This window comes from Homo sapiens, chromosome 13 (genome assembly GCF_000001405.40).
Source record: "Homo sapiens chromosome 13, GRCh38.p14 Primary Assembly".
NCBI lineage: Eukaryota > Metazoa > Chordata > Mammalia > Primates > Hominidae > Homo > Homo sapiens.
This window is the reverse complement of record NC_000013.11, coordinates 39,164,950-39,177,299: the sequence shown is the minus strand read 5'-3', so window position 1 is coordinate 39,177,299 and position 12,350 is coordinate 39,164,950. Positions and strand designations below refer to the sequence as shown.

The window sequence follows — 12,350 nt, the reverse complement described above, 5'->3', positions numbered from 1 at the left end:
GGGAAAGTTATTTTAAAATCCTGTTACAAGGGGTTGTCCATATGTCAAAATACCAAATATATGTTAAAGAGGATATTTATATTTGGTTTTTGATCTGGATTGAAGGTAGAAATCTTTATTTCTTATTATCATGGGATCATATTTAAAGTATTAACATGGAGAATTTTTTGCATGTCTCTGAGTTCACTGAAAATTATTTTATTCCTCCACAATCAGTTTCAGTCATTCACAGCAGAGTCAGAAAAGAGGCCCCAAAGCAAGGCAAAAACAGTAAAACAAAATGGACAAGCAAACAGCTATCTGACCTAAAAGAAATAAATATTTGGTTGTATACTTGTATAGTGATGTTTTTCCACACCAAGAAGCTAAATGACTTTCAGTGTCTAGGAGAAGGAAGTGTGGAAGATAGGGAGCCCGTGTGCATGAGCAGCATGTGAGAGGCCAAGAGGGCACAGAGGGCTGGAAGTCTCCCTCACTAGCAGGACCACGGGGCAGGTGCAATCTAGCACAGTACCCTGGTCTTAGTGGCCACTTATGACCACTGAACTTCAAGAGTTAGCACTTTGTCCATCAATTGCCTCCTTGGGAGTTAGCCTCAACTGAGCTCTGGAAGCTTGCCCAGCTCACCATCTGACCCATTCATGTGGGCAATCTCTGTCAGATATGCCCACATGCTTACATACTCCACCTTCCCAAACAAGGTGGGGAGGTCGGGACACCTTGATGTAAAGGGTGAATTTTGCCTTTGAGCAAAGTGCAACCCTATAAAATTGCCTTGAAATTGCCTACTGAGCTGGGAAAATGATGAAAGCATTCCCCCTATTACATGATGACTGCTATTACTAATAGTAATTGTTGCTTATTTCAGTTCTTATGAGCTATGCTTTATATTTAATTTCACAGCAACCCTTTGAAGTGGATATATTCTTTATCTCATTTTACAGATGAGGAAATGGAGATGTGGAAAGAGCAAGTAATACAGGGATTGTACCACTAGTGAATGCAGAACTAGACTTCTGACACCAATGTCTGACTGAATGTTTAACAAATATAGTATACATAGCACAAATTCTTACTACTGTTGTATTACAAACAAAAGAAATGGAAGAGACACATTTAAAACTGGGCAAAAAATGTTAAAAATAGTTATCATGTTGTTGGATTAAGAACAATTACTTGCCTCCCATTGTCCACTAACATATGACATTATTTATCATTCTGATGTTATTTTTACTGTCTCTGGTATATAGGTAGAGTCTTGGGCTTTAGATCGGGAGCATTAGTTTTTCACTTTAGTGTTATAGAAAGAATGGTCTTGGTTTGGACCATTTCTTGCTTATGATATCACCAGTACCATTAGGACATACTCATTTGGTATCATTCCTTTTTCCCATTACAAATTTTATCACGATAATATGGCACAATGCTAGAATTTTAATGGTTCATACATTCCGTGAAACATGATGGTAATAAACTAATGCTTTGACCTCAGCTTTTTAAGTGTTGATGCATTGTCTATTTCCAGCTCACCTAGCTCTTGCCTTTCCTCATGCTACATGAATGGGGATGAGCTGGAATGGACAGTCACTCAAAGCAGGAAATATTTACCAAGTGGAATACAACTGTTTATCAGCCTATTAAAAGTGCATAGGTGCTCATATTCCATTTTGAAAAACACAAATGACCATTTCTCCTGACAGAGAATACAAGGAGAATGCAAAACAGAAAAACACGAATCAGCTCTTATTACAGAGATTACAACAAGAACAGAAAGTGACACATTTATCATCCATTCTTGAGGCAATGGCCAATGTGAGAGCTGGAAGCACTGCAAATGCAACTTTCTTTTTCCTGCAGTTGGCTGCATATATCTGTTAACAAAGTGAAAATTATTAGAAGATGAATCAAAGGCAAATTCTGCATCAAAGAACAGCCTCATTATTTATTTAAGACTCATACCATAACTCAGGTACAACCCAGAAATAGGATCATATCCTTTATGGAGCTAGCCAAGAAATATCCTGACTAAAAGGAACAGTTGGATCATATGTTTCGTGGTTTCATAGCCTATCACTGGGCTGTTTATCACAGACAAGACTCTTAAAAACAAAGACCACAATTATTCTTGCTACAATTTTCCATGACAAATAAAGTGCTATGTTCTTCTGGTAGCAATTATGTGTCTATCATTTTTCTACAAAGTGGTGATATCAAGATGAAAAAGCTCCACCCCAAGATGTTGTTGAAGTTCAGAAGAAAGCCTGTGGGAAAGTAGAGGGTGCTGGCAGAGGAAAGTGAGTTGAATTATCTTGGAGGATTTAAAGTGTTTTATTGGTGGAACATGGTGGCTCACACCTGTAATCCCAACACTTTGGGAGGCCGAGGTGAAAGGATTGCTTAAGGCCAGAAGTTCAAGCCTAGGCAACATAGTGACCCTATCTCTACCAAAAATTAAAACATAAATTAGCTGGGCGTGGTGGCACACACCTGTGGTCTCAGCTACTTGGGAGGCTGAGATGGGGGGATTGCTTGAGCCCAGGAGTTTGATGCTGCAGGGAAGCATGATCATCCACTGCACTCTAGCCTGGGTGGCAGAGAGAGAGACTCTGTCTCTAAAATAAATAAATAAATAAATAAATAAGTGCTTTATTGTTTGACCCTTATTTTGTAAATCCAGAAACTCAGTTTTCAAACCCCAGAATTAAGCAAGCTCAATTGATTTAATCATACATGCATACTTCATGGAGGTGTATAAGTATATTATATACAAGGAGAACGCTAATTCATTAATATATTACTTTATAAAGAGAGATACTGCTACACACTGAATCCAGGTTTAATTAATGGGATAGCCTCATAATGCATCCACCCTTAAAGCAGGGAAATTCTTTCTAGAGACTATATTGGGCAAGTCCATAGAGAAGGCCACCCCATTCTTTTCCCTTATGAATTCTTAACTATTCCTCTTTTGTCTGTATTTCTATGCTTTATTGGTAACCATCTCACTTCTCGTGACATAAGCCTTCTTTAGATTTGTTACTATTGTATGTAGTATAATAGATGTTCCCTGCTTCTTCTTACTTTATTATTTTTACTTCTAGTTCCAGTGAAAATTTTGTATTTAGAATACATTTGCAAATGTGTAATCCATGGTTTCTGGTTGCTATTATAAAACATTTTTCCCAGAGATAGTCTGAAAAAAGTGGCCTACTGTAAAACAGTTTTGGGAAATGCTGCATACTATATGCCACTATTAATGATTCATAGTGCACTTCAGCATATTAAAGAATCTGAGAAACTCTATGCCTTAAATACATATATAAAGTTTGTTAACCTGATGTTCCCCCAATTTTCTGTCCAGGGAAGTCCTTCATCTTGTAACATCTGTTAACATCTCATAGAAAACACTGATGTAATCACATGTGCTGTGTGCTTCTTTGATCACTTAATTTCAAACCAGATTTCTGAAAATGATCTGGATTATTGATGTGCCTCCTATACAAATAGATCCTTCTACAATAATTTAGGAAACAACAGTGCTGATAAATCCATAAGCATTTTCCCAAACTCCAAATCCATATATACAACATCGAATATTATTAATCACCATATCTTATTTCCTCTCTAAACATTTCTTTAGTTTGGTTCCCCTTCTTCACCCTGCAGCCACACCTCTTTTGAGATGCTCATTGCTTTGCAAAATGATTCACTCCTTCATCTGACTCTCCTCAAATTTGTTTACATTACCAGAGCGATCCTTTAAATTATTCTTTTTCCATTAAGAAAGAACTTTAAAAGTAATATATGATCATTATGGATAATTTGGAAAGTACAGAAATAGATACAGAAGACACTAAAAATAAGGCATTAATTCCAGCATGTAAAGAAAAACCATGTTAACGTTTTATGAACTGTCAGTATGTTTCCTTTTATTGGGCTGGGCAAAGATTTTATAGAGAAGATCTCAAAAGCACAGGCAACCAAAGAGAAAATAAACAACTAGAATTTTATCAAACAAAAGTGTCTGCACAGCAAAGGAAACAATTGACATATTGCAGAGACAACCTGCAGACTGGAAGAAAATATTTGCAAACTATTCACATGACAAGGGATTGATATCCATACTATACAAGGAACTCAAACAACTCAACAGTTAAAAAAAAAAAAAATTAAAATAGGCAAATTAGTTGAATGGACATCTCTCCAAAGAAGACATACAAATGGCCAACAGGAATAGGAAAAAATGCTCAACATCACTAATCATCAGGGAAATGTAAATCAAAACCACAATGAGATACCATGTCACCCCAGTCAGAATGGCTGTAGACAAAAGGACAAAAAATTAAAAATGCTGGTGAAGATGTGCAGAAAGGGGAACTCTCACACACTCTTGATATGAATGAAAAATAGTCCAGCCATTATTGAAAATAGTATGGAGGTTCCTCAGAAAACTAAAAATAGAATTACCATATGATCCAGCTAGCCTACTACTGGGTATATATCCAAAGGAAAGGAAATCAGAATATTGAAGATATATCTGCACTCCCGTGTTTATTGCAGCACTAGTCACAATAGCCAAGATATGGAACCAACCTAAGTGTCTATCAACAGACGAATGGATAAAGAAAATATACTCTCTCTATATGCCATGGAATACTATTGATATTCAGCCATAAAAAAGAAGATAATCCTGTTATTTATGGCAATGTGGATGAATTCGGAGGACGTAATGTTAAATGAAATAAGCCAGGCACAAAAAAAAAAAAAAAAACAACTGTGTGGTCTGACTCATATGTAGCTAAAAACATTGATCTCAGAGAGTAAAATAAGAGTCACTAGAGGGTGGGAATGGTAGAAGAAAGGGAGGGCAGCCAGAAATTGGTTAAGGAATACAAAATTATAGCTAGAGAGGAAGAATAAGTTCTAGTGTTCTATACCACTGTAGGGTGACAATTATTAACAATAAATTATTGTATATTTTTAAATAGCTAGAAGAGTGGATTTTGAATGTTCCTCACACAAAACATCATAAATTTTACAGGTGGTGGATATCATTACACATCGTATGCACATATCAAAATATCACTTTGTACCCCATAAATATGCACAATTAATATGTGTCAATTAAAAAGAATAATATAAGCAAAAAATGTGTCCTTTGCCTACTACTGGAATGTTAGTACTTTTCCTAACTGATTTTAAGGCATTTATTAAGAATATTAATCCACGTATTTTATTTGTTACAGATATTACTCTTAGCTTTTACTTCCTTATATTGTCTTTTTTCTTCCCCTTTGGTTAACTCTTTTATAGAAAGATAATATGAAAAGGTATATCATGTCACTTTCTTAGGAATAAACCTTCAGTGGCTTCCCAAGTGACTCAGCATGGCTTTGCCTTCCTTTCCAAGTGCCTAGTTAGACCTGCACATGTATCGTGCTCTAGCCTTTTGCAGCTACATATAATTCTCCTAAAGAGGCCTGCCCGGCTCAGACTGCTTCCTCTCACCAAAATGTCCATCTTGCCCCCTACAACTGGAAAACCGTCATTCATCCTTTGAGACTCAGTCCAAATTGAGTTCCCCCATTCTCTTTCCACAGCATCTTCTGCTTCCTCTATCATCGAAGTTATGACACTGTAATAACTATTTATTTACTCTTCTTTTTCACTGATCTAAAAAAGCAGGGAGTTTTCTTATATCTGTACTCAGAATCAGTACAATATGTGACGTATAGTAGACTTCAATAAGCAACTGCAGAATGAATGAATGAATGAACTAGTAGAGGTATCCAGAAGAAAATGTGATTAATTCTGCCCAGGAGAAATAAAGAAAGGTTTTACAAGAGAGAGTGGTATTTGTAGAAGCTATGGAAAGATGAGTAGAAATGTGTTAAAAAAAATAAAAGAGCAAAGAAAAATTATTTCAAACACAGTCATTAGTCAGAATTTACTATGTAATTTTACACTAAATTGGGAGCATGTGGTAGAAGATTACCTTTGGGTAAATATTTCTAATGCAGATATTTGGGGCCATGGTGCCATTCAGTGATGAGAATAATTTTTTAAAGGGCAGACAACAACAAAAACTACCACCCTCCACAAAAAAATGGAAAACATATTCATACGGGTTAGAGGGTCTCAAGGAATTCACAGGAGGTAGGTTGAAAAGATGAAAGCCTTGACAGCTTGACAGAGTGATCTGACCAAGTTTCTTTCTAATCCTCTTAAACAACCACATGTAGCCTTTCAAGGAAGTAGTTTACTATGGACATCAAAGGAAATTTCTCCTTGAAGCAAGATGAGATGAAGAATCAAGCAAGATTGGAAACTGGCCCAAGATAAATATTTTAAGGCAATATGAAAATATTTGGGACATTTGGGGCAGGATAAAAAGGAATTAATCGGTTGTTGCTGAACTCTTGAAAAGTCAGTAAAGATATTAAAGGAAATCTTCTGGAGGAGCTGATTCTAAAGTGATGTGATAAATGACTCTTGAGCATGCTCAGAGAGCAGCGGTGCATTACCAGGGCAGGAGACTGAATAATTTACAACAATGATTACATATATATGTGTGTGAGCATTCATTAGCTGGCAGAAAATAAAACACATTTGTTTGATCTCTGTTTGATTTAGCGTCAGGGGGTTCCATGATCTGGGATGAATTGATCATGTAAATAATGTATAACCACTGACTACCTCCTTTCACCCAGTCGTAAACATTTCTAAGCTTCCAGTTTTCACGATTTCATCCCCATCCTCTCTAACCCAGAGATATCGTCCCTGTCGCAGGCATTGTGGTGCATCACCCAGGTCCTCTCTACAGGACCCATTCTGGAGTTTGTTCACCCAGCTGCTAGGAGTGTTGGCTCCTGATGGCTAGTCCTGCGCCCTTCTCCGGGGGCTGCCCTCTGGGAGACGCCTCACTCAAGATCATGCCCCTTGCCATGTTGATATAAGGGTCAAAGGCCAAGCTTCCTCTTCTGAATTTAGAACAATTCTCATTAGCCATCTCAGCTGCAGAGAACTTCATGTTATTAACTAAGATTTAATTTGAGTATGTATCGCAGGTCAGCTTCTATCTCTACGCAATTTTTATTCCATCATTTTCTTAAGTGTCTTGTTTCTGAGTGTGATTGCCAATAAACTTTCTGTACACAAATTTTCTTCTCAGACAAAGCTCATCTCCAGGGACTCTGTGTCAAAAGGTGGTCAAGTGGTCCTTGGAAACAGAATTTAAAGTGGGATTTTGGAGCTGTGTCATTCTCTGCCCAGATGACAATGAGGATCCTTTTTCTGGCAGTAGGTGGAGTCCTTATGTCCCTTGGCATGCAACATGCTATAGCTGTGCACTGTCCCGCCTGTACATGGGCACAGCCACCCTGGTCTGGAACGGCAATGCTGTTTCAGGACAAGAATCTTTGAGTGAGTTTTTTGAAATGTTGCCTTCCAGCGAGTTCCAAATCAGCGTGGTAGACTGTCAGCCTGTTCATGATGAAGCCACAATGAGCCAGACCACGGTCCTTGTTGTGATCTGTGGATCAGTGAAGTTTGAAGGGGAACAAACAATGGGACTTCAACCAGAACTTCATCCTGACCGCCCAGGCCTCACCCAGGAATACAGTGTGGAAGATCGCAAGTGACTGCTTCCGTTTCCAGGACTGGGCCAGCTAGTGGGGGTGGCAGAGGTCTCTTTGCTTCATTCAGCCCGAGCTCTGTAGAGAAATGCAAATCTCGACTCTCAAGGATGTGAGGAACACAAGTTCATTTCTGTAGTTGCAAAGACACTGCAGACTCCACTGTGCTGAGGTTGAACTCTTTTTTTTGTTGCTCAAGTTCTAGGAGTCCCTTTCCTGAATATATACTTGTTTGTCATAGTTTCCTTTTCAAAGTAGTCAACTTTTCTATTTTTCTAAAAAAAAAAAAAAAAGATTTTCACTAATGAAGAACTGGGAAGGGATACAAGTGGAAGAGAAGGTGCTAGCTGGTATAATATCTCAAGCATTCGAAAGATACTAGGAAAATAGTAATGATAAAGCCTGCAGAACTGGGTGGCAGTTACTAAGGGCTACTGAGGTGCTGGAGAAAAATGATGGGAAAAATGTTACAGAGCTATCTATTGCTCTGTAACAAACCAACTCAATACTTAGTAGCAACCAAAACATTAATTTTGTTCATAAATCAGCCTCAGGCGGGGTGGCCTAAATGCTAGAATCTGGAATCATGCAAAGTCTTGCTCCCTCACATGTCAGGCAGTTGATGCTAGCTCTCAGCTAGAACACCTACCCATGGCCCTCTCACATGACTGCTTCAATTTATCACACCTCGGTAGCTGAATTTTTAGGGGGAAAAGTCCCAAGAGGGGAAAGAGAGTGACGTGGAAGCTGCATTGCCTTTTATGAATTTGCCTCTGAGATCATGCAGCATTTACTACCAGCGTTATATTTGTTAGGAGTAAGCCACAACAGCTGGCCGAGATGTCAAAATCTGCTGATATGTTTAAACCCATCGGAATGATGAATCACTAATTTAAGGTAAGTTGTAAAAGTCAGAGGGTCCCCTTTATCACATTTTAAAAGACTCTCATCTTCTCTATAGCTAGAGGACAGAACAAAGCTGATGATCAGCCTCAGGAGTCCAGAGAATATTAAATGATCAACCTCAGCAAGTCTGCTATGCCAAGGTCAGAGCCTTAATTAGGAAGGAAGAGGAGGGTGGAATTTGGGTTGAACATCTGGGTCAACGCACTCAGCAACTTTGAAACCCCAGGTCATTCTCTGCACTTTGGGCCTGCAGAAGTGGCCCACTCCTTCCTTTAAATGCTAGCACCAACCTTTTTGATGACAGTGCAAGTGCTGAACCTCCTAAGGGAGGGAAAGGACTATACCCTGAAGAAGCACAGACCACAGGAGCTGGGAGAGTAAGATGGGACTGGGTCCAGGGAGTGCTGATCAAGTCATGTACTGGAGTACTCTTCTGGGGCACAGAATGTAACACCATGGCAGAGATCTCACGAGACAATGCCCATATGTCAGTAGGCTGGCTCTGGAAAGCCTAGGGAAAATGATGGTCCACACTGTATAAAGTAGAAACACTAGCCTGTGTTGTGACTCACGCCTGTAATCCCAGCACTTTGGGAGGCAGAGGTGGATGGATCACCTGAGGTCAGGAGTTAAAGACCAGCCTGGCCAACATGGTGAAACCCCGTCTCTACTAAAAGCACAAAAATTAGCCAGGCATAGTGGTGCATGCCTGTAATCCCAGCAACTTAGGAGGCTGAGGCGGGAGAATTGCTTGAACCTGGGACGCGGAGGTTGCAGTGAGCCGAGATCACGCCACTGCACTCCAGCCATGGCAACAAGAACGAAACTGTCTCAAAAAAAAAAAAAAAAAAAAAAAAAAAAAAAAAAACAAGTAAAAACACCAGATGGTTGTGGCAAACAGTGGTGTAAGGAATCAAAATACTCAAGGAAGTAGGCATATTAGAAAAAAAATGCTTACATGCTATATAGAAGTTAAAAGCCCACAAGTTGACTTTATATTCAATGGCAGGACCCAGAAGAAACCAGTCTTGCCGAGAAGCTCAGTGGTGTCTGTGTTCTCTAGGCCAGGGTGATGATAGGTGATGCTGTCACAGAACTCTGTCCCTGATAGCGGCAAGGACAATAGAATATTGAAATAATTGAGGCAAGTTGGAGGTGCTGAATAGCCAAAAGCAAGTGAATAAAATGATCATTAGAAGTGCCAAGGTCAAGTGGCAACTAGGGGAGCCTTCCCTACAGAGCGCTGGTTGATAATACATGTAATCCCTCGGGACAAGGTAGACAGACAACCAGCAAGTGTACTGTTCATTCTGTATAACCAACAGAAATCAATGAGAAAGATTAGGAAGCTGAGGCAGATATCTCAATAAAATGCTATGATCCTTGTTCAGTTTCTGGACCTGAGCCAGAGCCAGAGAGTATAAGTATAGCAACCCTGACCCCTAGATTATTTACTACAATAACTGCCTCTCTTTCAACTTGTATCTATGGCTACATATGTAGGTCCCCTAAGGACAGCTGACAGAAAAGGAAAGAGGCTTAAGAAGGGGTTGGCTTGGTATCTGGGTGCAAGGCCAAAATAAACCGCTGCTCTCATATAGCCCCGTTCCCAGATGGCATCGAAAGACACAGGTGAAGGGAAATCATTCCAGTTATCAGAGATATGGGCAGTGTTCCTGGTCACCTACTTTGTCAGGAAAGAGAAGTGCTCTGCTATAAAAATATCTGGACTATGACTGTGTATGAATGGCTGCGGTGAATGGCTTGGTGAATAGCAAAGGCTTGTTGGTCGGGAGTCTAGAAGGAGAAGCACAGGTAGAATGAGGGCTTGGAAGAGGCATGTAGGCGTACCTGTGGGAGTGGTTGCAAGGTGTAAAGACCTTGTCTTGCATTCTAACACCCATCTGGGATCATTCCCCATGGAAAAGACACCAAACAACCAAGTAAACCGAATAACTCAGTTGGTGTCCGCTGGTTTCTGTCATCAGCCGTCCTGTTCTGGCACAATGAGTGCATGTGTTGAGTACCCATGATGTCAGAGAAGAAGGCTGCCAAAAGCATAGACTCCTACACATAAGGTTGATCTAAATTTCTGTCACTCTGAACACCCAAACTGCCAGCAACATAGATCAACCCTGACCCCGATACAGAAATATCCCTAGAAGGAATAAATCAGTCATTTGGCAAATTGACTACTTTTGACCTCTTCCACCCTGGAAGGGGCATGGATTTATTTTGGTTGGAATAGTAACAGGTATGAGTTTACCTTTCCTTCACTCTGGGTCCCAATCAGCACCAAACCTGAAGACTTACAGAATGTTTGATCTGCTGACATGGGATAATGCAAGGCATCACTTCGGTCCAAGAGACCCACTTTTCACCAAAAGGGATGCAGCTGTGAACACATGGAACCCGCTGATCCTGTCATAGACTGCACCACTCAGGAACTGCAAAGTGGATAAAATGATGGAATGACTTTGTAAAGGTGAAGCTAAAGCACCAATCTGAAGATGACACCTTGCAAGGACAGAGTGCCAGCTTTGATGAAGCTGAGTATACACTAAATTAAAGGAACATTATATGGTGCCGTGTCTTCAATAGGTAGAGTGTATGGACCAGGATCCAAGGAGACTGAAGTAGCAGTGGCCTTGTTTACCAATATGACCACTTTGGAACTTTATGCTTCCATTTTCCAGTAGGGCAAGGAAAAATAGATTTGCTCCCAGGGATATGTCTTGGTACATTCCCATCTAATTTTAATAGTAAATGGGCACATTAAGTAGTCAGTCTGAGATGGGCATGGTGGCTGGGGGTTCAAATCCCTCAAGGATGTGGGTCCCAGTCGCCCCATAAGGAAAGCCACCCAGACCAGTATAGCTGCTAGCCAACAGTGAGATAATCTAGAATGGCTAGCAATAAAGAGATGATGAGAATCAGTCATAACCTTGAAGCCAAGTAGAATGTTAGTGTCTGTAGCTCATCCCACTAACCTTCTTATTGTGGGCTTACCCAGGAAATGAGACCAATCAGAATCTAGGATTCTGAGCTCTAGAGCAGCTGGTCCCAGATGGGGTGAACTTACTATAAGGAACAAATGGTGCCGGGGGTAGACACTCTGGTGCATTGGTCAGATTGTCCCTTTCAGACTAATGCAATAGTTTTCCCAGCTGCCAGGAGGGCTGACTCTTGATACTTCATAGCTGGCTGCCTCTCTGGGTACTCTCTTGACCAAAGAGAGTACCTTACCCAAGTTTACACCCCTTCCCAGGGAAGTCCGCATCGCATAAATGGTAGCTGCAGAGTGGAAAGGCTTTGCCCGTTTGTCTCAATTCAGAACACTGAAGGACCACCCAAGCTCCAGAGGTCCCCAGTGAATTAGCTGAGACCTCTATTAAAGATGCATCACGTCACCATTCTATTTCTTCCTCTGGCCAGTCCTGCTTCCTTCACTTCCTTACCAGTGTTATTACTAAGCACACTCCCTAATGAAACTCCTACACATAAATCTCCATCTCAGAGCCTATTCCCAGAGAACCTGCCTTACACAACTCTAAACTTCTTCATCCTTTAGTCAGAGTGAAACACTAGAGAGAAATATACTAACTCATTATGTTATTTGCATGTTCTAGGTTGGTTCTGGTTTAGTTATGTTTGACATTTCCAGCTCCCTCTTTGCCTGTTTTGGACCCAAGGCACATAGGAGTCTCCCTATCTTCATCTCCGTATCTAACCTGGTCCTCCCTCCTTCATATTTCATATCGTTTTTGTTTTATTTACATTTATTTTTATTTAAGTATAAACATTAGTGCA

The 12,350-nt window shown here is 40.2% G+C and overlaps 1 pseudogene; it reads left to right on the top strand.

Annotated features, from left to right (window-relative positions):
• On the top strand, positions 7,350-7,868 carry NXT1P1 (nuclear transport factor 2 like export factor 1 pseudogene 1; annotated as a pseudogene).
• The last annotated feature ends 4,482 nt before the right edge of the window (positions 7,869-12,350 follow it).